At 42.0% G+C, this 26,579-nt stretch overlaps 1 protein-coding gene across 4 annotated transcripts in view; it reads left to right on the top strand.

Moving 5' to 3' along the window:
• The first annotated feature begins 15,716 nt into the window (after positions 1-15,716).
• Positions 15,717-26,579, top strand: part of SGCD (sarcoglycan delta) — a 1,039,957-nt gene continuing 1,029,094 nt past the window's right edge. The window contains exon 1 of one of the 4 annotated variants that reach the window (XM_047417519.1): positions 15,717-16,875. The gene's annotated coding sequence lies outside the window, so the exon portion shown is untranslated. The remainder of the gene's footprint in view (positions 16,876-26,579) is intronic. The other 3 variants (XM_047417518.1, XM_017009724.2, XM_047417520.1) reach the window with 3 other exon arrangements.

Consider the following 26,579-nt stretch of genomic DNA (forward strand, 5'->3'; position numbering starts at 1 on the left):
ATGCTTTCTATCTCTATGAAATTGCATAGTCTGAATATGTCATGTAATATGTGACCTGGCTTCTTTCACTGAATATAATGTTTTCAAGGTTAATCTATGTTACAGCAAGTATCATTTCTTTTTATGTCTGAATAACATTCCATTGTATAGATATACTACATTTGCATATTCTTTTATCATTGCTGGCTATTTGGGTTGTTTTCACCTTTTGGCTATTGCAAACAGTGCTGCTATGAACATTTACATATAAGTTTTTGTTTGAACTCTAGTTTGGGGTACATACCTAGGAATGGAGTTGGGCCCATACTCCATGATATCTTACTTCAGTATTTTCTTTCTTTTTTATCTTTTTTTTTGAGACAGAGTCTCACTCTGTTGTCCAGGCTGCAGTGCACTGGCACAGTTTCAGCTCATTGTAACCTCCACCTCCTGGGTTCAAGCAGTTCTCCTGCCTTAGCCTCCCGAGTAGCTGGGATTACAGGCGCCTGTCACCATGCACAGCTAATTTTTTTGTATTTTTAGTAGAGACGGGGTTTCACCATGTTGCCCAGGCTGGTCTTGAACTCCTGGACTCAAGCAATCCACCCATCTCAGACTCCCAAAGTGCTGGGATTACAGGCATAAGCCACCATGCCCAGCCCATTTTACTTCAATATTTTCTAACCATTAACTAGATTTGCTAAATTTACAACATTAAAATCTCACATATGTAACTTAATATCATAAAGTTCCAGAATGCTAAAGAAAAAAAAGTTTGGTTACATTGCTATGCTGGATCTCAAATTTTTATCCTGGAAACACTTTCTGGGAGAAGAGATAACCTGCATGGAAGTAATATTTGTGTTACTCAAAACTACAACAACAACAAAAATGACTCACATAAAACATGTTTTCTAAAGAAAATACTGTACCTAGAAGGTATTGGTGGAAAAATTATACAGCTTTTGAAGTCCAGAAGAATAGTGCAATTCTGCCTGGTTTGCCATAGTATGTGTGAATAATAGAATGTAGAGTCTTTCCCTTTAGTAATTCTGAACTGGCTGGCAATCTTCATTTTACTCTTCTGCCCTCCACCAAGCCAATGATGAGAAAAATGAATGGAAATTGGAATTTGAATCACTTCCTAATTGTTTTACTTGGTTCAAATGGCTGCAGTTACCATATACACATTTTTCTCCACTAAGTAATCTCCAAATGATATAAAACAGTCATCCTTTTAAAGGACTCCCTCTATTTTTCTTTCCAGAATTAAATTGGCACATGGTCTTCTACATCCACACTTGCATTTTGCTTTTTCTAAAAACCTAAATCAAACTCTCTTCATGAAACTTGACTTTATCTGCTTGGCCAAGATTGACTCTTACAGCCACTGAATACATGCTGTTGACAAAATGGCATTCCTGTATGCTGAAAATATCTGTGCAATGTAGGGACATTTTAATAGTGGCATGCTGAATAATCAATTCCACTTTAAGGCACAGATCAATATTATCTCTGAGATGTCTAAATAGCCATTAAATATGAACAGAACAGGCCTAGCAAGCAGAAAAATGAGGAGGAGGATTGTTCTTGACTACAACATGAGGCTTCTAATGATTTTTAATGGGAACATTGACCTCTCTGGAAAATTAGCAGTTTTTTTTTCTCCTTGATGAATCTAAATTAGTTAAGTTTTGTTTTCATTTTGTTTTGTTTTGGACTTTCTTGCTCTAAACACTTTATTATTGGAGAAAAGAATACTATGTAGTTCCTGTAGATATCTCCTGAGGCTTTATAATTAATTATTGTTGTTATTATTTTACATCTTAAAAATTAAACTTTTGTTTTAGAATGGTTTTTTTAAATTATACTTTAAGTTTTAGGGTACATGTGCACAATGTGCAGGTTTTTTACATATGTATACATGTGTCAAGTTGGTGTGCTGCACCCAGTAACTCGTCATTTAACATTAGGTATATCTCCTAATGCTATCCCTCCCCCCTCCCCCCACCCCACAAGTGGCCCCAGTGTATGATGTTCCCTTCCTATGTCCATGTGTCACACTGTTCAGTTCCCACCTATGAGTGAGAACATGCGGTGTTTGGTTTTTTGTCCTTGTGATAGTTTGCTGAGAATGATGGTTTCCAGCTTCATCCATGTCCCTACAAAGGACATGAACTCATCATTTTTTATGGCTGCATAGTATTCCATGGTGTGTATGTACCACCTTTTCTTAATCCAGTCTATCATTGTTGGACATCTGGGTTGGTTCCAAGTCTTTGCTATTGTGAATAGTGCTGCAATAAATATACATGTGCATGTGTCTTTATAGCAGCATGATTTATAGTCCTTTGGGTATATACCCAGTAATGGGATGGCTGGGTCAAATGGTATTTCTAGTTCTAGATCCCTGAGGAATCACCACACTGTCTTCCACAATGGTTGAACTAGTTTACAGTCCCACCAACAGTGTGAAAGTGTTCCTGTTTCTCCACATCCTCTCCAGCACCTGTTGTTTCCTGACTTTTTGATGATTGCCATTCTAACTGGTGTGAGATGGTATCTCATTGTGGCTTTGATTTGCATTTCTCTGATGGCCAATGACGATGAGCATTTTTTCGTGTGTCTTTAGCTGCATAAATGTCTTCTTTTGAGAAGTGTCTGTTCATATCATTCACCCACTTGTTGATGGGGTTGTTTGGTTTTTTCTTATAAATTTGTTTGAGTTCATTGTAGATTCTGGATATTAGCCCTTTGTCAGATGAGTAGATTGCAAAAATTTTCTCCCATTCTGTAGGTTGCCTGTTCTTTCTGATGGTAGTTTCTTTTGCTGTGCAGAAGCTCTTTAGTTTAATTAGATCCCGTTTGTCAATTTTGGCTTTTGTTGCCATTGCTTTTTGTGTTTTATACATGAAATACTTGCCCATGCCTATGTCCTGAATGTTATTGCCTAGGTTTTCTTCTAGGGTTTTTATGGTTTTAGGTCTGACATTTAAGTCTTTAATCCATCTTGAATTAATTTTTGTATCAGGTGTAAGGAAGGATCCAGTTTCAGCTTTCTACATAAGGCTAGCCAGTTTTCCCAGCACCATTTATTAAATAAGGAATCCTTTCCCCATTTCTTCTTTTTGTCAGGTTTGTCAAAGATCAGATAGTTGTAGATATGTGGCATTATTTCTGAGGGCTCTGTTCTGTTCCATTTGTCTATATCTCTGTTTTGGTACCAGTACCATGCCGTTTTGGTTACTGTAGCCTTGTAGTGTAGTTTGAAGTCAGGTAGCATGATGCCTCCAGCTTTGTTCTTTTGGCTTAGGATTGACTTGTCAATGAGGGCTCTTTTTTGGTTCCATATGAACTTTAAAGTAGTTTTTTCCAATTCTGGGAAGAAAGCCATTGGTAGCTTGATGGGGATGGCATTGAATCTATAAATTCCCTTGGGCAGTATGGCCATTTTCACGATATTGATTCTTCCTACCCATGAGCATGGAATGTTCTTCCATTTCTTTGTATCCTCTTTTATTTCATTGAGCAGTGGTTTGTAGTTCTCCTTGAAGAGGTCCTTCACGTCCCTTGTAAGTTGGATTCCTAGGTGTTTTATTCCTTTGAAACAATTGTGAATGGGAGTTCACTCATGATTTGGCTCTCTGTTTGTTATCGGTGTATAAGAATGCTTGTGATTTTTGCACATTGATTTTGTATCCTGAGACTTTGCTGAAGTTGCCTATCTGCTTAAGGAGATTTTGGGCTGAGACGATGGGGTTTTCTAGATATACAATCATGTCATCTGCAAACAGGGACAATTTGACTTCCTCTTTTCCTAATTGATACCCTTTATTTCCTTCTCCTGCCTGATTGCCCTGGACAGAACTTCCAACACTATGTTGAATAGGAATGGTGAGAGAGGGCATCCCTGTCTTGTGCCACTTTTCAAAGGGAATGCTTCCAGTTTTTGCCCATTCAGTATGATATTGGCTGTGGGTTTGTCATAAATAGCTCTTATTATTTTGAAATATGTCCCATCAATACTTAATTTATTGAGAGTTTTTAACATGAAGTGTTGTTGAATTTTGTCAAAGGCCTTTTCTGCATCTATTGAGATAATCATGTGGTTTTGGTCGTTGGTTCTGTTTATATGCTGGATTACATTTATTGATTTGCATATGTTGAACCAGACTTGTATCCCAGGGATGAAGCCCACTTGATCATGGTAGATAAGCTTTTTGATGTGCTGCTGGATTTGGTTTGCCAGTATTTTATTGAGGATTTTTGCATCGATGTTCATCAGGATATTGGTCTAAAATTATCTTTTTTTGTTGTGTCTCTGCCGGGCATTTGTATCAGGATGATGCTGGCCTCATAAAATGAGTTAGGGAGGATTCCCCCTTTTTCTATTGATTGGAATAGTTTCAGAAGGAATGGTATCAGCTCCTCCTTGTACCTCTGGTAGAATTTGGCTGTGAATCCATCCGGTGCTGGACTTTTTTTGGTTGCTAAGCTACTAATTATTGCCTCAATTTCAGAGCCTGTTATTGGTCTATTCAGAGATTCAACTTCTTCCTGGTTTAGTCTTGGAAGAGTGTATGTGTTGAGGAATTTATCCATTTCTTCTAGATTTTCTAGTTTATTTGCATAGAGGTGTTTGTAGTATTCTCTGATGGTAGTTTGTATTTCTGTGGGATCAGTGGTGATATCCCCTTTGTCATTTTTTACTGTGTCTATTTGATTCTTTTCTCTTTTCTTCTTTATTAGTCTTGCTAGCAGTCTATCAATCTTGTTGATCTTTTCAAAAAACCAGCTCCTGGATTCATTGATTTTTTGAAGGGTTTTTTTGTGTCTCTATTTCCTTCAGTTCTGCTCTGATCTTAGTTATTTCTTGCCTTCTGCTAGCTTTTGAATGTGTTTGCTCTTGCTTCTCTAGTTCTTTTAATTGTGATGTTAGGGTGTCAATTTTAGATCTTTCCTGCTTTCTCTTGTGGGCATGTAGTGCTATAAATTTCCCTCTACACACTGCTTTGAATGTGTCCCAGAGATTCTGGTATGTTGTGTCTTTGTTCTCTTTGGTTTCAAAGAACATCTTTATTTCTGCCTTCATGTCGTAATGTACCCAGTAGTCATTCAGGAGCAGGTTGTTCAGTTTCCATGTAGTTGAGTGGTTTTGAGTGAGTTTCTTAATCCTGAGTTCTAGTTTGATTGCACTGTGGTCTGAGAGACAGTTTGTTGTAATTTCTGTTCTTTTACATTTGCCGAGGAGTGCTTTATTTCCAACTATGTGGTCAATTTTGGAATAGGTGTTGTGTAGTGCTGAAAAGAATGTATATTCTATTGATTTGGGGTAGAGAGTTCTGTACATGTCTATTAGGTCCGCTTGGTATAGAGCTGAGTTCAATTCCTGGATATCCTTGTTAACTTTCTGTCTTGACCTGTCTAATGTTGTCAGTGGGGTGTTAAAGTCTCTCATTATTATTGTGTGGGAGTCTAAGTCTCTTTGTAGGTCTCTAAGGACTTGCTTTATGAATCTGGGTGCTCCTGTATTGGGTGAATGTATATTTAGGAGAGTTAATTCTTCTTGTTGAATTGATCCCTCTACCATTATGTAATGGCCTTCTTTGTCTCTTTTGATCTTTGTTGGTTTAAAGTCTGTTTTATCAGAGAATAGGATTGCAACCCCTGCCTTTTTTTGTTTTCCATTTGCTTGGTAGATCTTCCTCCATCCCTTTATTTTGAGCCTATGTGTGTCTCTGCACATGAGATGGGTTTCCTCAATACAGCACACTGATGGGTCTTGACTCTTTATCCAATTTGCCAGTCTGTGTCTTTTAATTGGAACATTTCGCCCATTTACATTTAAAGTTAATATTGTTATGTGTGAATTTGATCCTGTCATGATGATGTTAGCTGGTTATTTTGCTCGTTAGTTGATGCAGTTTCTTCCTAGCCTCGATGGTCTTTACAATCTGGAATGTTTTTGCAGTGGCTGGTACCGGTTGTTCCTTTCCACGTTTAGTGCTTCCTTCAGGAGCTCTTTTAGGGCAGGCCTGGTGGTGACTAAATCTCTCAGCATTTGCTTGTCTGTAAAGTATTTTATTTCTCCTTCACTTATGAAGCTTAGTTTGGCTGGATATGAAATTCTGGGTTGAAAATTCTTTTCTTTAAGAATGTTGAATATTGGCCCCCACTCTCTTCTGATTTGTAGAGTTTCTGCTGAGAGATCAGCTGTTAGTCTGATGGGCTTCCCTTTGTGGGTAACCCGACCTTTCTCTCTGGCTGCCCTTAACATTTTTTCTTTCATTTCAACTTTGGCGAATCTGACAATTATGTGTCTTGGAGTTGCTCTTCTTGAGGAGTATCTTTGTGGCATTCTCTGTATTTCCTGAATTTGAATGTTGGCCTGCCTTGCTAAATTGGGGAAGTTCTCCTGGATTATATCCTGCAGAGTGTTTTCCAACTTGGTTCCATTCTCCCCATCACTTTCAGGTACACCAATCAGACGCAGATTTGGTCTTTCCACATAGTCCCATATTTCTTGGAGGCTTTGTTTGTTTCTTTTTATTCTTTTTTCTCTAAACTTCCCTTCTTGCTTCATTTCATTCATTTGATCTTCCATCACTGATACCCTTTCTTCCAGTTGATCAAATCAGCTACTGAGGCTTGTGCTTTCGTCACATAGTTCTCATGCCATGGTTTTCAGCTCCATCAGGTCCTTTAAGTACTTCTCTGCATTGGTTATTCTAGTTAGCCATTCATCTAATTTTTTTTCAAGGTTTTTAACTTCTTTGCCATGGGTTCGAACTTCCTCCTTTAGCTCGAAGTAGTTTGATCGTCTGAAGCCTTCTTCTCTCAACTTGTCAAAGTTATTCTCTGTCCAGCTTTCTTCTGTTGCTGGTGAGAAGCTGCATTCCTTTGGAGGAGGAGAGGTGCTCTGATTTTTAGAGTTTCCAGTTTATCTGTTCTGTTTTTTTCCCATCTTTGTGGTTTTATCTACCTTTGGTCTTTGATGATGGTGATATACAGATGGGGTTTTGGTGTGGATGTCCTTTCTGTTTGTTAGTTTTCCTTCTAACAGTCAGGACCCTCAGCTGCAGCTCTGTTGGAATTTGCTGGAAGTCCACTCCAGACCCTGTTTGCTTGGGTATCAGCAGTGGAGGCTGCAGAACAGTGGATATTGGTGAACAGAAAATGTTGCTGCCTGATCTTTCCTTTGGAAGTTTTGTCTCAGAGGAGTACCCAGCCATGTGAGGTGTCAGTCTGCCCCTACTGGGGGGTGCCTCCCAGTTAGGCTACTTGGGGGTCAGGGACCCACTTGAGGAGACAATCTGTTCATTCTCAGATCTCAGGCTGCGTGCTGGGAGAACCACTACTCTCTTCAAAGCTGTCAGACAGGGACATTTAAGTCTGCAGAGGTTTCTGCTGCCTTTTGTTTGGCTATGCCCTGCCCCCAGAGGTGGAGTCTACAGAGGCAGGCAGGCCTCCTTGAGCTGTGGTGGGCTTCACCCAATTCGAGCTTCCCAGCTGATTTGTTTACCTACTCAAGCCTTGGCAATGGCGGGCGCCCCTCCCCCAGCCTTGCTGCCGGCTTGCAGTTTGATCTCAGACTGCTGTGCTAGCAATGAGCGAGGCTCCGTGGGTGTAGGACCCTCTGAGCCAGGTGCAGGATATATTCTCCAGGTGTGCCGTTTGCTAAGACCTTTGGAAAAGTGCTGCATTAGGGTGGGAGTTACCCGATTTTCCAGGTGCCATCTGTCACCCCTTTCTTTGACTAGGAAAGGGAATTCCCTTACCCCTTGCACTTCCTGGGTGAGGCAATGCATCACCCTGCTTCGGCTCCCACTCAGGCTCAGTGTACTGCACCCACTGTCCTGAACCCACTGTCCGACACTCCCCAGTGAGGTGAACCCAGTACCTCAGCTGGAAATGCAGAAATCACCCATCTTCTGCATCGCTCACGCTGGGAGCTATAGACTGGAGCTGTTCCTATTTGGCCATCTTGGCTCCACCCCTCCTCGAATGGTTTTCTATTTACAGAAAAATTACCAAACTGGTACAGAGTCCCATATACCTCATATCCACTTTCTCTATTATGAGATAATATATTATTATGGTACATTTGATAAATTAATGAACCAATATATATTATTATTAACTAAAGTTGATTATAATCAAATATCTTGGTTTTAAATCAAATACACTTTTTCTTTTCCAAGATCTCATTAAGATATCACATTACATTTAGTTATTATCATGTTAGGTATCTCTTGGCTGTGACATTTTCCCAGAATGTCTTTGTTTTTCATGATTTTGACAATTTTGAACAAACTGGTATTTTGGCTAGATATTTTGTAGGCTATCTCTCAACTGGGATTCATTTTATGTTTTCCTCACAATTAGACTGTGGTTATGAGTGCTTTGGAGGAAGACCACAGAGGTAAAATGTCATTTTCATCATATTACTTATTTCAAGAGTACGTACTATCAACTTGACATCACTATTGATGTTAACCTTGATCACTTGGATAAGACAGGGCTTTTCACGTTTCTCCACTGTTAAGTTCCTCTTTGTCCCTCTTGCATACTTTACTCTTTGGAGAGAATTCACTATGCCTAGCCCACACATAGGGGATAGAGGGTTATTTATGCTCCATCTCCTTGAGAGGGAGAGTATCTACAGAAATTATTTGGAATTCTTTTCCATGGGAGATTTATCTCTTTGTCCTCATTTATGTATTTATTCAATCATATATTTCTATCAGTGTGGACACATGAATATTTATTGTATGCTTTAGGCTATAATTCAATACCTTTTTTTGTTCAAATTGTTCCAGTTTTGTTCATTGTGAGCTCTTTCAGTTGGCTCCTTTGTCCATTTAATATACCTTATTACTGTATGTGTGTCTGTGTGTGTGTGAGACAGAGTGTGTGTGTGTGTGTGTGTGTGTTTTGAGCACTTTCTTACTTACTGGCACTATAAGATGCCCCAGAATTATTTTGAACGTTTCTTGTCCCATTTATAGAATCAGACATTTCTCCAAGGAGCTTTGGTTCTTTTTATTGGATACTGATATCAGAAATTAAAATCTGGATGCTACGTGTGTGCAGTTACTGGGGTATCATTGCTTTTAGAATTTCTTAGGTGACAGAGAAAGGAAATATATATCTGTATCCTATCCTGCGCACGTTCACATATCTATAATTATTTCTGTTTGTATCCATCTGTATCTATATTAAACTTGAGTTAATACTGTTTTCTGCAACTCTAATCCATTACCACATGGATCTCTCTAGTCTTCTCTCATACATTTATAGTACATTCATACATTTATAGTACAGTTAAATTCACCTGTCAAAGTCTACATTCTTTCTTGGGATCCCCTGACCTCCTAAATGATTTGTTAAAATTTGCACACATTGAGGTTCACTCTTGTGTTGTAAAGTTATGTGGTTTTTGACAAATGCATAATGTCATTTATCCACCATTACAGTACCACACAGAATAGTTTTACCACCCTAAAAAAATTCCCTGTACTTTACTATTCCATTCTCCTCCTCCCACAAGTCCCTGGCAACCACTGATTGGTTTCCCATTTCTATAGCCTTGCCTTTCCCAGAATGTTGCATAAAAGAATTATATGGTGTGTAGCCCTTACAAACTAGCTTCTTTCACTGATAAATATATATTTAAGATTCATCCCTATCTTGTGTGGCTTTACAGCTCAGTTTTTGATCACTGAAAACCACTGACTTCTACATATTATATTGATGTACTACAGATTGTTTATCCATTTATCCGTTGAAGAATATCTTGGTTGCTTCTAGTTCTTGGTGTTTATGATTTGCCTGCTGGTTTCTGTGTGAAGATATTGTCAAATAGGTGGAGTAAACACCTAACATTCATTTACTTGATTGTATGGTAAGACTTTGTTTAGCTTTCTAAGAAACTGCCACACTGTCTTCCAGTTTGCATTCTCATCAGCAATGATGAGAGTTCTTGTTACTCAGCATCCTCATCAGTAATTGGTATTGTTATTCCAACACCTTTAAATAGGTGTGTAGTGATTAAATTGGTTCAGTTGTGCTTAGTGATCATCCATATCCAATGGAAAAATATCACACATCAAACACATATGTGGATTTATAACTTAATAGTTTTTGTTAGATGCTTTCCTTTACATAATTTTTTTTACCATTAAAACTTGGCATTTATCACATTTTTCCTCTAAGGATATAAAATACAGAATAGTGTGTTGGTTGTTTCACTTTGAATTAAAGTAAACTGGGGTTTAATCTAGACTGTACCACTTATCTCTGAGACTATGTGTGAATTATTAACTTGCCCTGCTTTAGTTTCCTAATCTTTAACACAGAAACAATAACAGAAACCAACTGAGGAGGTAATATACATTTAAAGAGTTACTACATGGGAAGTATTTAGCATGATGCCTGGAACATGGCAACCATATGATAATTATTGTTATTACTGTATTGCTAGTTCTGATATTATTACCAGAGAAGGGTCTGTTTTTTTTCTAGAAACAATACACTTTTCAGTCCTTCACTTTGGAGCTACACTGATCTTTTTCACCCTACCATGCCTCATAAAATAGAATAAACATGCTTCACATTCATTACATTTCTTGCAGCATGATTTTTTCTACTCCAAAGAGCATGGTGGATATTTGCAAAGGTAACCTAAGTGTTACAACTCATTGCCTTCCTGTTATTTTTTGTATTACTAATAATCCCTTGCATTTGCTTAGTGCTTCAGATTTTACATAAAGCTGGCTTCACAGACAGTATCTCATTTGCTTCTCAGAACAGCTTTCTGAGGTAGGGCAGGGCATGCTTAATAGTCTTTCATTTTGATAAGGTGAAGTAACTTGCCCCAAATTGCATAACAGGTAAGGGCAGAGTTAGGGTCTGAATCCAGGTGTTCTGAATCCCGATTTCAGTGTTCTTTCAAGGAAACCAAGCATAGGGTGAATCTTCAGATAAAATGGTAGATACAGGCTGCCTGGGACATTCATTATTTCCCGTTAATTCTGGAACCATGTGGTTCATGCAGTGGGGATTATGAGTGGCAGGAATCTTCAAAGGGGGATCCTTTTGTACTTTGGGGCTTTAAATCAGCTATAACATCACCAACACTCATGTCTCAAGGGTAATCTCCTAGAATCTAATATGTGTATAATAAGATCCCCAACACAATTTCTAAAGCACTAGATTGTTCTTGGTAAGGAGTGTAGTAGCCAGATTTTTACACTCTTTCTGGTACTTATCCCAGTCACCTTCCTCACTTTATATGTAACTCACAAAGCTAAGCTTCTAGCAGTCTTGTTGGTACTGTGAGTCCATACCCCTGGTTCTGTTTGATTATCCAGGAGTAGACATTTGACTCTAGATGGGCTAATGAGATGCTGTCTCCTAGTAGATAAGACTTGGGGCCCAGAGACAGTAAGTTAAAAAATACCTGTGAAATGCATGAGATAGACATTTTCTGCCATGGGGGCACAGATGCAGAGAGTTCTTTTGCAGAAAGAAGTATAAGCATAGCAAGACAGTGAGTTGAAAAGGAGCATTTAGAGATGGAGATAGAGATATATAAAAAGAGACCACATAAAATTGAGAAAGATTTCATCCTGACATTCCAGTTCCTTCTAGAGACTTTGTTTCATTACTTTCCATGTATTTGTTTAACTGATTCTTTAATTTTCTACCCTCTACCCTAAACTAGTATATGTTGGTATCTGTTATTCTGACAAAGAAAATAATCCTAATTTATACAGGGAGTGAAATTCTTCTAATGCAAAACTTACTATTGAGCTGTGGCCAATGCAGCTGTTAACAGCAGCATTAGCTTTCACATATCATGGCCACTACTTCATCAGTTTGTGGATTCTACACACCAGGGTGTACTCAAATTACTTAATAGTGTTTCTACCTTGATGCAAATAACCCTTTATGGCATCCCAGAATCTCAGCAAAAGGGGTTACTTCTCAGGTCAGCTATTTTAATCCAATCAGAATTCTTTCCTTTGATTTCCCTGCCAGTTTTTGCTTAAAATTTTCCATGGCTGGGAAGTAAAGCATAAGAGAGTGAGCATGGACTTAGATTAATCCAGCTCTTTGTTCAAAACCTGCTCTGCAACGTTCCAGTCTTAAAATCCTAATTACTTAGCCTCTATGACTCTTTCTTTCCTCACTTGCAAATGGAGATTAAAATGTTCTACTTTATGGATTTTTTAATGGAGATTTTATGGAACAAAGTATGCAAAATGCCTGCTCTAGTGCCTACTCTATAGTAGATACTTAATAAATATTATTCATTCCCAGCTTTTTAAGCAATGCATCAGTCATTCTCCTTTATGCTGAAACAGTGGCTCCTAACTGTGTAGTTTGCAGTATCCCTATGTAGGATTAACAGGCAGTCATGGTGACTGAGTCTAAAAGCCTGAAATCAAATCCTAGACCTACTGCTTTCTTGTAGAACCTGTGATAAGAGAATCTGTGAAAACTTCCCCAGATTCCTTTAAAATGAGGAGGTGGACTAGTGCACACTTGAGATCCCTTTACAATGTGAAATACTGTGACTCTAGTATTTGTCCTTTAGGTTATGATTTTATTTATATTAAATAAATTATCATACTTCCCACTCTAAAGTGCTATTGGATGGTAAACAATAAGTACTTTTCTGCGGTATATTTCCTGTGGCAAGAAAAAAAATATTAGTGACTTCAGAATAAATCATTTTGAACTTTGGAAAGATCTAATTGTCAAGTATCTCTATAGAGTCGACAAAATTTTCCTCAATCCAAGTAATTAGCCCTACTTCTTCCTTTTCCTTGGTCAGTAGCTCTGGTCCCAGAATAAGATCAGGTGTGCACTAACTTGTCTTTGTCCCTTCCTAATTTCTTTTCTTCTTCTAATAATATGTGCTAGCTACTCAGCTGCTTTCCTTCATCTTAAGCCCCCATAGCTTGAAATTTTGTGAAGCCGTAAAGATGAACTCTACTGGAAAAAGATATTCTGGCTGACAGTGGAACATTGGAATACATGATTGTTTTAGAAATGACTTTTTTCTAATAGTCCATTGATGATGTTTCAGTAAAGTGGAGGTTTGAATAAATGTTTTCTTGGCTTAGCCTTCTCCTACGTGCCAAGCCTCACCCCATCCTTCCTCAGCTTGCTCTCAGTCCCTAGCTTTAATCAATTTATGCATTCATTGATTGATTGACTCCTTGAATATTTATTGAGTTGCTACTACATATAAAACCCTATGTTAATTTCTGACACATTTCAAAGATAAAAAATATTTGAACCTTGCCCTCAGGGAACTCACAGGCTAGTAGAAGAGATATGATAAACATATATATGCAATCAAAACCCAAGGAAGAAATAATTAATATCGTAGCTCAAAATTTTTCAAACCATAAATTGCAGCCCATTTGCAGGACATAAAATCAATTAGTAGGTCATGACCACATTAAAAAATTAAATGGAATAAAAATATTTAAGTGAATCACAAATTAAGGATACATGTTGTTTTGTGAAAGTTTTATTTAAGTTACGTGTGTGTGTGTGTGTGTGTAGGACTATAGTGTAATATGAAGTGTTTTTACTATTCATCTGATGTGGTTTCGTTCTGTGTCCCCACCCAAATCTCATTTCGAATTCTAATCCCCATGTGTCAGAGGAGAGACCAGGTGGGAGGTGATTAGATTATGAGGCTGGTTCCCCATGCTCATGTTCTCATGAGAGTGAGTGAGTTCTCACTAGAGCTGATGGTTTTAAATTGTGGCACTTCCTTGTGCTCCCACACACTCCCTCCTGCTGCCTTGCGAAGAAGATGCCTACTTCTCCTTCACCTACTAAGTTTCCTGAGGCCTACTAGCCACGCTTCCTGTTAAGCCTGCAGAACTGTGAGTCAGTTAAACCTCTTTTCATTAAAATGACTCGGTTTCAGGCAGTATTCTTTACAGCAGTGTGAGAAGAGACTAATACAGCATCACACTAAAAAGTCTGAAGACACTGGCTTAGGAGAGACACATAAAGAAACCCCTCTCGGGCTTAATGTGCCTATGAATCAGCCAGGAATCTTGTTAGGATGAAGTTTCTAATTCAATTGCTGTGTGCTGGGGCCTGAGATTTTGTTTCTATCAAACTTCTAGATGCTGCTGTTGCAGCTGATCCACCCAAGGAGACAAAGTGCTAGATGGAGAGACTATTTCCAGGGGAACAACCTGAGAAATCCCTGAAGTCATTCGTTTGTGACTTCAAGTGCCTCCAAGGAATAAAAGAAAATACGTTTTTCCCTTCCTTTTCTCGTTTTTGCTTTTGGTTGATTGATAGAAATCCTAACTTACGCCATTCTTCACCAAGGGCGGTTGCTGTCCAGCTTCCAGGTGCTGAATGTTAAAACCAAGGGACCAGATCTGTTTCAGACCAGTTATTGTGAAAAGCTCCACCGTTTTATCTGAGGGTTGGCCCCCAGTTTCCCATCGTGTCTTAAACATCGGTGCCTTTCTCTACAATGTCCCCTGCAATTAACAGCAGACTCCTTCCTATAAAGTAGGCTTTTAAAAACAGAAGCAATAAGAGTTTTATTTATTTTACCTTCTACCTGTTACCACATTACATCAGGGCTTCACTTGCACCCAGATAGCTGCCTTGACTTCCTAATGGTTTTCTCTGCCTGCAGTTCCTTTTCTTTCTCCCTCTACCCCCATCTCTTCCCCTCTTAAGCAATCCTGTACAGGGATATACTGCTCGAGCTAAAATGAAGCTTCCATTATTTTACTGCTTAAAACACTTCAGTGACCCCCGCCCACCCATTGCCTAGGGAAGTTCTCTGCCCCTACCAAGCTTGTTTGCTGCTGTTCCAATGCGTCTTTCTTCATCCTTCATTTTGACCTCTCACATCCTCCTCTCACTTTTCCAGCTATTCGAATCCTGCCTACTCTTTAGGTTTTAGCTTAAATCCCACTTCTTTCATGAAGCCTTTTTTGGAAACTCCAGAGGAAATGAATCTCAATCTCTCTCTCTCTTTCTTTCTCTCTCTCTCTCTTTCTCCCTTTCCCCGCTTTTGCTGATGACTCGTCTCAGTAATGCTGAGCATAATTTGTGTACTGGCCTGTGGCAGAAAAAGCCCAGGACTGGCAGGAGGAGACCAGACTGGGGGCTGACCAAACTGGATGTGTGTGACAGCGGGCAAGCCACGTGTCTTCCCTGAGGCTCAATTTCCCCACTAAGATGAGAAGATTGGAGACAATGATGTCTAAGTAATCGCACATGGTGTCCAGTATTATGTGTGTTTTGCTAACTTTGTCTCTTTAAAGTTCTCATTTTCTACTACTGTGAAATTTTCTTATTTTAATTATCCTTCTTGTTAGTATTGAGCTATTACCCATCTTTTAAATTGTCTTTTTAAAAATTCTCGTGTTTTTGTTTTTCTTACTCATATCATAAAAGAACCTCATTTTACGGCTAGGGCAATGAGGCCCAGGGAGAGCCTGCCTAAGGGCACGCAGAGCAAAGAATACAACATTACACCCAACTACGGAGGGCCCTGTGCTCCGGACGCTGCCCGGCGTCGCTCAGAGTGGGTGCTCACAAATTATTTGTCAATTGATTGGAGGTTGCCAGGCCCATCTTGCAAGACACCTCCCTTCTCCCTGGAAGGAGAAACCCTTGGGAGTCTGTTGGTTAACGGGAAAAGTGCTTTCTCTGAGAGGAAGGCGGGGCAAGCCGGAACAAGCTCTCGCTGGGAATCCGCACACTCCTTCTCCCGGTGTTTCTTAACCCCTTTCTTCTCCCGGGAGTGGAGAGGGGGCTCAAGGATACTAGAAACCTGTCCCCTTGGCGGAGACACGTAGTCGCCTCTGGCCGCCGCGGCCGACTGATCTTGCGGAGTGGAGCTCCCCCCACCCCGCCCGCGTTTCGCTGGGGCTCCCTCCGCTCTGCAAAGGGAGCGGGGAGCTGGGGGAGCCTTGCACACCAGTCTTCCTGGAGCTGCAGACGAGGAGCCCCGCGCCTTCGGGAGCCTCTCGGCGGCTTCCCCTCTAACGCGCGACTGTGCAGCCTCTCCCCGCCGCCCCCACCCGCGGCTCGCCCTCGCTCCCTCCCTCCAGCCCCGCCAGCCGGAGCGCGCACACCGGGACTCCGGCACGTGGGCGCGCGGGAGGTGGCGGCCGCTGCTGCCGCTGCTGCCGCTGCCGGAGCCCGAACCCAAGCCCCAGCTGGAGCCGGAGTCGGAGCCGGCGAGATCGCCCTCCATGCTGCGGGAGCTGCGGCCGCCTTCCGCTCAGCCTCTGGTCCCAGGCGAGCCTGGCGAGCCGGCGAAGCACCGGCGGGGAGGAGGACTAGAACAGGAGGAGGGGCACGGCGGATTGAAGCGAGCTGGGCTGTGAGCAAGGGACACCCACAGCCTGGAGAAACAGCCCCGCTCTCTTGCGCGCTGTCTGCTCCAGCCGCTACTGGGGGCTCTAAGCAGCGCGATGCTGCTTCGCTTCTTCTAGGCGGCGGCCGGCGGAGGCTTTCCGCAGCCGCTTGGCCGGCGCCGGCCCCTATTCCGTTGGCAAGTCCCTTGTCTATCCCGGAGGGCGCACCCGGACGCTCGAGCCGGAGCGAGCGCGAAGTCCGAAGTCCGCCCCCAGAGCCGCCAACTTCCCTGTGAGCCCCTCTCCCCGCCGCAGCCTGCGCCAGACCTGGGAGCGATGCGCCCCCACCCGGGCGGCGCGCCCTCTGCCAACTCGCCACCCATGGGATCGACTGCCCTCAGCTGCCCGGCTTGGAGTGCGTAGCCTTCGCCGCGTGGCCCAGGAGAGGAGCGAGACACCAAGGCGTTTCGCGGACTCCGCGCGCACCAGTCGGCTTGGTGGCCCTGCGGGATAGCGTTTATACCCAGGGGTGAGTAGGCCGCTAATGGAGGCCCCCTTTACCCCCAGCTAGCGGCTTGCATGGACGGCAAAGAGACGGGAGAAAGTTGGGTCTCCTTGCGCTTAATCTGGCATTGGCAGAGGAATGCAACACTGTTTCCTCCAACTCGATTGCCGCGGGGGTTTCCCCAGTTCCCTCCATCTCTAAGCCAAGGAGGGAGTCCCCTTCCGCTTCCTAAGGAGAAAAGGGGCTCCCTAGAGCAGATCGCTGACTTCCTCACCAACGTGCCATTTGGGGCTTTTCAGCCGCCCGCGCGTTAAGCTAGCTCCCAGCATAAGCGCTTAGAGATCCGCAGCCGCCTGGGCGCGCTAAGAGATCGTGGGCAGACCTAGCCCTTAGGGCAGCCTAAGCGCGCTTCACTAAAGAAAAAAGACTGTTGGTATATTAAAGAAGTGTGTGTGTGAGAGAGAAAGAGACAGAGAAAGAGACAGAGAGACATGGGTGGGGGCACCAGGAAAGGTAGCCCGAGTAGGAGGTGCTAGTGAAATTTATCTTTTGCTGACGGATCCAGCCTCCGGAATGCCCGATTGTCTTGATCCGCGGTGCGGTGCGGGTTTTAGGGGCGCACAATACAGGGTGTCCAGACAGAGTCCAACAGGTGGCCTGCGCGGGCATCCTGTGGCTAGGCGCGGGGGAGGGGAACGGCTCCCTCCCCGAGCCCCGGGCTGCCTCTGCTGCTTCTAGGGGTGCATCTGAACATGGATAAGGAAATGCGCTCCCTGCTCTCAGGCCCTATTTGGGGTGAGTGTGTGAGGCATCCAAATGCCTCCTGTCGGAAAACAGCGGCCTCATTGTGTGCCCGATTGAGGTTTCAACTTGCAGGCAACTGAGAGGCCATTCAGCTGGGCAGCACGGAGTTGGCTGGTCCTCGGACTTGAGCCATGGCCTTCCCCACGATCCCTGGCGGCAGTATCCCAGCTCCTCCGGCTGGGCGGCGAGCCAAAACTCATAGTTTCGCTCCTCTGTACTCCACTGAAGGGAGGGGGAGTTGCCTAAACACCAGGCGTTTTTATCTTGAGATTCATACACAAGGGCAGGTATGGGCATACACGTGTTGTGTGCGAGTGAGCGTGGAGACAAGTCGAGTTTAAGAGCTGGATGGAAGAAATTAGAAAACTCTGCACCCTCCAGGGAGACAAATTAGGAGAGGGCGCGGTTGAGCTTTGAAAAAGTTTCACCTGAACTCACCTTTCTTCGGTGACTTCAGGTGTGCCAAGTGCAAAATATTCTAATCCCTTAAAGCTGTGGCCCCTCCAAAGCAGCATCTTCCAAAATTGCCCAGTAACTTCTTCATGAGTAACTTCTTCATTCCTCGGCTTACTCATTTGTAGGTTGGGGACAATTATCCGCATTCATGGGAGAAGCTCTGGAATGTCTATAAAGGAGGTATTTAGAGATGGATGTCCAGTTGGAAGGTAGAGCAGCTGTGTGTGTGTGTGTGTGTGTGTGTGTGTGGCGAGGGGAAATTGGGGGAAAGGGAGAGCTGTCTGGAACCTACATACATAGTAGGCACTCCGTTTTTACTTAGATTTTGTATTTTTAGGAGGTTGGTTGGCTTTGGCAAGAGTGATGGAGATTTGGGGAAGCTAATGCTTTCCCAGCACACACTTGGCGCTGCCACATCGCTGCCGACCTACTGTGGAGTGAGATGTTTGTATATTGGAAACAAAGTGATGGACACTCCAAAACACAAAAGAACCCTCTGCTGTTGACGCTTGCCCCAGTGGCTTTCCCTCCAGAGGAAGTTCTGGAGACCACAGCTGTTTAGCCTTGCTGCCTTAATACTCTGGAATTTTCCTGCATCCTTCCAGCCCCAATTTAGTTTCCCTCCTAAGGAGCGCCCTCCTCACCCAGGGCCTCTGGCAGCAGATCATCAAGGATATCTAAGTAGAGTGATTTCCCAGATGTGTAGCACACACTGGGTGATTTAGCATGGGGCGCATGCCTCTCCACAAACATGCTGGAGCCTTGACGTTTGAAAGGGAGCCAGGAGCTGGGGGCCAAGAGGAGAATGGGCAGGGAGATATTATGCATTACAGAAAGACAGTCAGACAGTAGTACAGAGTCAGAGTAAGAAGAAAAAGGAGAAAGACAGAGGGGCACGAGAGGGAGGGACAGAGGGGCAGAAAGAGATGGAGAGAGAGGCAGAGACACACAGAGATAGAAAGAGAGAGGGAGGGCAGAGAGAAGACAAGAAAGTTACAGGGTAGACAGGGCAAAGAATAAGAGGAGGCAAGAGTGGCAGAGAGAAAGGGATGGAAGGGAAAATAAATCTGAAGAAGAGTGTGAGAAAAGAGAACAAAAAGGGAAAGGAGTGGGAATGGGTGGGGAAGTCAGATGGGGAGGAGGGAAAGGGTGGGGAAAGAGAGGTGCCCTGAAGACACATTATTTTTGTAGTTAATTTTCGTAAACCATGCTGCCATTCTAAGGACGTTGACATAGTCCAGATCCTTAAGTAGCCAGCCCTTGGTTCATGTTTGTTTCTCTGGGGAGTCATGAATTATGCAGAAATTGGACACCCACTTGGAACCCATTGGAGATGACACAAGTGTAGGAAGTTTAGATTCTTGGTAAATGCACACATGCATAAATGCATTTGTAGTCATTGTTTTTGTTTGTTTGTAGTTTTCTGGGTAAATACATGTTGGAGAATTGAGGCAGAGTGTTGGCTCACTGACAATATTTGCCAATGATTCTCTAACCTTGTTTTTAGAAAAATCTCTTCAGTAGCTTCCGAGAAATACAGACTACTGGACCCACTCCCCTGGGAGCCTGTTCCAATAGGGACCGGAATGTGCTACTTTGAGTGCCCCAGTTGGTTCTAAAGCAGGTGGTCCCTGAACCAGGCTTTGATACACGTGGTGTAGATGGTATAGCACCCTTCTCTAATTTGTTTCTGGATTTCTTCGTAAGAGATACTCTTTAACACCTCTCTCTCTTATGCTATTCTCTCCAGAAAAGCTTATTTCTTGTGAATTTCTCTTGATAAAAGGAGAAGCCCAAGGAAGTTGCTCAGCCAGGGTTACCTTCATCAGCCTCATTAATCACAGTAGTTCCAGGGGAAGGCAGATGGCTCCTCTGGTTGACCTTGTCAGGGGCTTTCACAACTAACAGGTACTGAGGACTCCTCAGGGCATTGCCTTCAGCATTCTTCATGTACTATCTGCCCATTTAAAACTCACAGAAAGCTATGCCACAGGCACTGTTATTATCATCTGCATTTTAGCTGAGGAAACTGAGACTTTGAGAAATTATATAATGTGTCTCAGAGAAATTACTTTAGTTGTCAGCAGTCTAACTACTAGAAAGTACAGTGCTAAAATTTGAGTCCAGGCGTGGTTGACTTCAAGATCTCTGGTCCTAATTATGTACCGTGGTAGCTGCTAATCCTAACACCCCATTCTAGGCTGATGGAGCCAAAAGTCCTTGGAGATCTTTCCCAAGCTTTCTCCCTCCCCACTCTACCATTTGAGAAAAACAAAAGTAGCTGAAGAAACTGGGAAGTGTCTTGCCAGAGATCCTATAACCAGTAGGTGCCAGAACTTGGACCAGCACCCAGTCTGGAGTCTCAGTCCAGCCTTCTTCTCACCACACCAGTAGTTGTCATGTGTGGCTAATCATCAAGGTCACTTACATCTTAGTCAAAACACAAGTTGCTGGACTCCCCTAAAGGCTTACTGAATCAAAACCTTGGGGCAGAGAGGCCAGAGATCTATATTTTTAGCCCATGCCCCAAGCCTACATCTATTTATACACTACCATTTTCCCCAGTTGTTCCCTCACTCCCGGATTCCAACACTGGATCCCTTCCAGACAGCTTCAAGAGGAGAACTCTGAGTCCCTCCTGCTTCCAGCCAAATAGAAATACAAAAAGTAGTAAACTCCATGCGTGTTGCAGCCCACTGATATGCAAGGAAACAAGCAGGTCCACCTGGAGGCAACTTTGCAAGCTCTTTGAGAAGTATAGCAATCACAGTGATGTTTGTTATACTCGTTTTTTTTTTTTTTTTTTTCCCAGTGCCAAGTCGGAAAGCACTTATGGAAACATCAAATGCTCCTTCGGTGCATGAGTGTCGGCATTTGTACTAATACTTGACACAAAATGATGCCATGAGCCAGGGCCAATGTGTCACTATGTCAAAAGTGTCAAGTTCAGTGTCCCAATTTAGTGGATGTAGCTGTGGTGTAAGAAACACCCCTTTCCTCCCCTTCATTATTAAGCTTTTGACTCCCTCAGAATAGATCAGTGCCTCATTCTGCAAGTAAAAAGGAGCTATCACACACACTCTGTCTCTTTCTGGCCCACTTAAATTGTTTTCTCAGTGACCTCAACATCTTTTCCCTTCTATTTCATTGAAAAGTGGCCAAAGGTACCAGACATCTTGTCCAGCAAACTGTTTTGTCATCTTTCCCTTTTCAGATCCAAATTTATCTTTTTGAATATTTTGCTTTTAACCCTGACCTCTTATTCAAGGGTGGTAATTGAGCCTTAGGTAGCTTTGATAAGCAACTCTCTGATACATGTATTTTAAATAACCACAGTCATTTATGGATAGAACACAAACCAAGGAATACCTTATATTTTTAAAGGGCTTCATTAATATGCTGGACACTTTTTTTTTTTTGCCATTTCAGTGGTCAGAACCTACTTTCCTGGGATGACTGGCAGTGGAGAAGTAAAAGTTGAAAGGAAACACTTAATGGTTAAGTTGGGCCCCGAGTGCAGACAACTAGGGGTCAAGGCCTACCCTCACCTGCCTTGCTTTTATAACTTTGGTCTGGTGATTTGACTTCATCAAGTCTCCATTTCTTCATGTACAAGTTGAAGACAGTAATAGGTTGTCTTATGTTGCAAGGATTTACCTTGATGAATGATTGAAGTGCTTAGCATGGTGTCCTGCGCACCTGTCAGCTAGCATTTTTACTGCTTTTTGTTAAATATTTGCTATGTGCCAGGTTCCATTTAACCCAGGAGCTGATGTTGGGAAGGTTAAGCAATTTGGCCAGTTCACACAGATTCTCTCTTTATTTTATTTTATTTTTATTTATTATATTATTATTATATAATATAATAATATTATTAATTATATTAATTAATATTGTTACTGATATTAATTATATTAATTAATAATGTTACTGTTATTATATTAATTAATAATATTACTGTTATTAATTATATTAATATAAATTAATATTATTATATGAGACAGGGTCTGGCTCTGTTGCCCAGGCTGGAGTTCAGTGGTACCATCTTGGCTCACTGCAACATCCACCTCCTGGGTCAAACCATCCTCCCACTGCAGCCTTCCGAGTATCTGGGATTACAGACATGCACCACCACGACTAGCTAGCTAATTTTTGCATTTTTTTTGTAGAGATGGAGGTTTTGCCATGTTACCCAGGCTAGTCTCAAACTCCTGAGCTCAAGCAATCCTCCATCCTTGGCCTCGCAAAGTTTTGGGATTACAGGTGTGAGCCACTACTTGGCCCACACAGATTCTAAGTAGCAGACTGACAGAATCCAGATCTCTCCTTTTTAAACTCCCCATACCCTTACTATTGCATTGCTGTGAGTCACTGGTCCTTATACTTTAAGACACTGTTGTATATGAAACACATTCTGGTTTGTATTTTTAAAAACCCATTGCTGAGAATGTTGAAGAGAAGAGTGGGAATCTTTTGAACTTTGGGGGATAATTTTTAGGTGGTGAAATCGCCTCCAAATATTTGCTTTTACTTTTCTAGCAATTAGGATGTTTCATAGATCCATCCCCTGCTGCAATTGCTTGGCTGACTCCCATCTGTTTATAAGGTCTCAGCATAGATATTGCTTCTTTGGGAAAAATCTCCCTTGAGTCCTCAAAGACTGTGTTAGATGTCTTTATAATGTGTTCCTCCATTTAAACTGGAGTATACTTGTCTGTTTACTTCTCTGTATCTGCCATTCAGTCTATATATAAGCTTCTTGAGATCAAGGGACTGGTTTTATTGGAAGTTGGATCTACAGCACCCAGGTCAGTGCCTGACATATAGAAACCTCACAAAAACATTTTTGGATGACTAATTGAAACTTTGAGCTAATTCTATGTGGTTCAGAAAAAGTGGCCATTGTCCTTAAATGCTAAAAGAAAAATCATCCAAACATAGGAGTTGAAAGCCATGAGGTCTAATGCGTCCCTAGAGGCTCCAGTTCTTCACATAGGCATGTAATGGTATCAGTAGTTGTTGATTAACTATGTTGGTAGCTTTGGGCAAGTTTCTTTGTGATGTTGCTTAAGATGTAATTAGAAGGGACATTCTGATTTATAAGTTAATGTGATTTTATCTGTACATCTAATTAGTTGCTCAGAAAGACACGTTTGATTCTCAGCCCAAAAGTTTGAAAAACTAATAGGCTTTCAGGAGTGAGAACCAAGGTTAGAGATAATCTAGTCCAATCAGTTTGAAGAAGAGATGAGGAAACTGAGGCTCAGAGGGGGAAAGGGACTTGCCTGAGGTCATCCAGCAAGTTAGTGCCACAGCCAGTGTGAATGCCAGTGGTTTCTGGCTGCTGGCCCAGGACTCTTAATGCCTGCTGAGAGTGATTAACACATGCTTGGTGAGCTACTTGTTTGCTTTGAAGGCAGGCTTGCAAGCATAGGTAGATACACAGCCTGCAACAGCACAATTCCCAGATGAAGCTCTTGCTGAAAACGAGAGAAGCAGACCTGAAATTATTTACTGATCGGGCAAACTCCTATAGTCAAGGGTGTTTGTTGGAGAGCATCTTGGCAGGTCCTAGCCCATAAGGTTTTATGGGCTTTTTGGATTCACAGTCTAGTTTTCAAACAAGAAAATGTGTCTGGAGTAGGATCCTCCTTTGATGTTCTTGTATGTGATATTTCAAGAATTAGAGATGTATGGATGTTCATTGCCAATCCCCTGGCACAGGGTCATTGGCAAAGTCATGATCAGATGATGCTCCTCTTTCTTCTTAACCCTTTTTTAGATGGGAAGCAGTCACCTTGGGATCCTTCTTTCTACCCCTGGGATGCTTTGGAGTATGACCAAATGGATCAGCCTAACTACATCCTCAGACACAGAAACATGTGCAGTGTACTTTGACATTGTTAACACACAGATCTTTATCACATGGTGTCAATATTATGGAGACAGTAAGACACAGATCATCGGTGTAATATATCGCACATGCTCCTTTGAAAACATTATAATCAGAGCTGACAAGGCAGAAGAAATATCTCAACCTCGCATCTTCCCTGCATCCCAAAAAGCTTACCAAACTAACCCAAACTAACAAGACTCTGATTATTCAAGGAAAGAAGGCCCAGATTATGATTCACTTTGCCCTTCTACCATAATCAGGCTGAGATTATTGGTGTTATTTTCTGATTTGGTATCTAAGGGTCAAGTGCAAGGCAGAGGTACCTCTCTTTATTCCCCTAACACCATAACAAATTGCTCCCTTTCCTATCTCATAGGTTTCTTAAAATTCCTCCATTGCATGCTAATTCTTTAGGCCTTCAAATAATTTAATGTTTTCTATGGTCCTTTATTGAAATGCAAAATTTCCTGAGTAGGATATTGTTAATAACTAGACCTAATATCTCACCCTATCTTCTCACCTTTTAATGGGCATTGAGGATAAATATTACTGTCACTGCTACCACCACCACCACTACCACCTCCTCCTCCTACTTTTGCTACTGTTACTATTGCCATTTATTGAGTATCCACTATGTGCCAACATGGTTCTAAGTTATGTACATGTATTTTTCTCATCTCATATTTCCAGTAACTTGATGTTGTGGTTATGGGTAGAGGAATTAATAAATCACCACAGAGATGACAAAAATAACGACGGGATTAACCAGAATAGAGAAAAGGTGATAGTCGGATCAGGAAAATACTGGAAAGCAATGTAGAAGGGCAGGAGGAAAAGTGAGTGCTCTTTCCTTTTCCCTATTCCCAAACATTCACGTCTCTAAGTGGGATCTTTAGAGAACGCACAGCAAGCTGAGGGTTGGGCAAGTTAACTTGCACCTGATCCTCACTGCTCTAAATGGCAGGACAGGGCTTTGAATCCAGACTTCCTTATTTTCAAACTTTACTAGGTAATATTGTCTCCAATTTACTTATAAAACAATGAGCTTGAAAAGAGCTTGGAGAATATCTTCTTCTATGGCTTGCAAACGACTATGAGGTACGTTAAGATAAATACATTAAGGTATTTTATGTCATCAGTATATACCCCACATGCAACTGACACAAAAGTTTCAAAAAATATAACACTTACCCTTACTATGGGTAATTTAATGATATCCTCTATTCTGCTTTATCCTATTATTTACTTGCACATTTACATGTGGAGACACAATATATTCACCCATATCATTGAAATAAAAGTTTTGAAAAATCATACTCTTACTATAGACAGTATAGTCTGATACTTTCCATTCTATTCCCATTCATTAAAAAGAAATCATGCTATGGCACTCAGAATTGATTTCATGACACTCATGGGTTGGAAAGCACATTGTGAAAAACACTTACCTAGTCTGACACTACAGATTTTTATAGATGGAGAAAGTAAGGATTGGGAGGCAGAGCTGTTTTTCCTAGTTCAAGATCCCATGACAGGCTAGTGGCAGAGCCAGTGTAGAACTCAGGCTCATGACACCCACTCATGCCTGCGAGTGAGAGCACCCTTGACCGTGGCCTCTGGGTCATGACTGAGCTTCAGTCTGTCAGCAGATTGTTGTCATTGATCACTCATAGTATATTCCCTTTGACTTTGACCTCCATTCCCCCCATGTAGCATTTTTTAGTGAGATTTAAGTGATAGGTTAATTTGCCATATATGGGTTTGGCGGTGGGAACCTGTGGTGTAATGGGACAGTGGGGGAGCTGGGATGGTGTTGAGGGCCCTCTGGCTTTTCTGTGAGCCTTGCAGACTCTTTTGATTGAATAATTAGGGAATAGATCCTGGACGAGGGAAGAAGCATTGATGCCAACTTGAGTGCCCTTAATCCCTCTATATGTCTCTCTCTGGACCACTTCTCCTTCCTCAACCCAGAGGGCATTACTCACATGTTTAAAGGCATTAACATAAGGACTGAATGTAGAGCCCAGTTTGCCATACCCAATGTATGAACAACCCTTTCTGGAAACTCGGATGACTACTTGAACTGGGGGCAGAATTTTTTGAGATGGTGATTTTTAATTTATTTAACACTACTTGTGCATGTTAAAAAGCCTAACAATACAAAATGGTAAAAAGTAAATGTGCCCTCATCCCTGATCCCAAGTCCTTAATTCCCCTTTTCCTGGTACAACTATGTTTCCGGTGTCTTCTGCATCCTCCCAAAGATATAGGTGGACAAAAAGCATGTTTTTCCTCTTTTACACAAGTGACAGCACATAATGTACCTTGTTTGTTTATGTAAATGATACATCTTGGGGACTGTTCATGTATGCTTCCATTGAGCTGCCTCATTATTTTTCTGAGCTGCATAATGTACCATTATATAAATGTACTGAGATTTATTTGGCTGTGATAAAGTGTAATGATTAAGAAGCTAGATTCTGGAGCTGGCCTGCCTCTGAGAGAGAGAGTCTGTGAGAGTGTGTGTGTGTGAGAGAGTGTGTGTGTGTAGGAGAGTGTGTGTGTGAGAGTG

The sequence above is a fragment of the Homo sapiens genome, chromosome 5, assembly GCF_000001405.40.
Source record: "Homo sapiens chromosome 5, GRCh38.p14 Primary Assembly".
In the NCBI taxonomy this organism is placed as follows: Eukaryota; Metazoa; Chordata; class Mammalia; order Primates; family Hominidae; genus Homo; species Homo sapiens.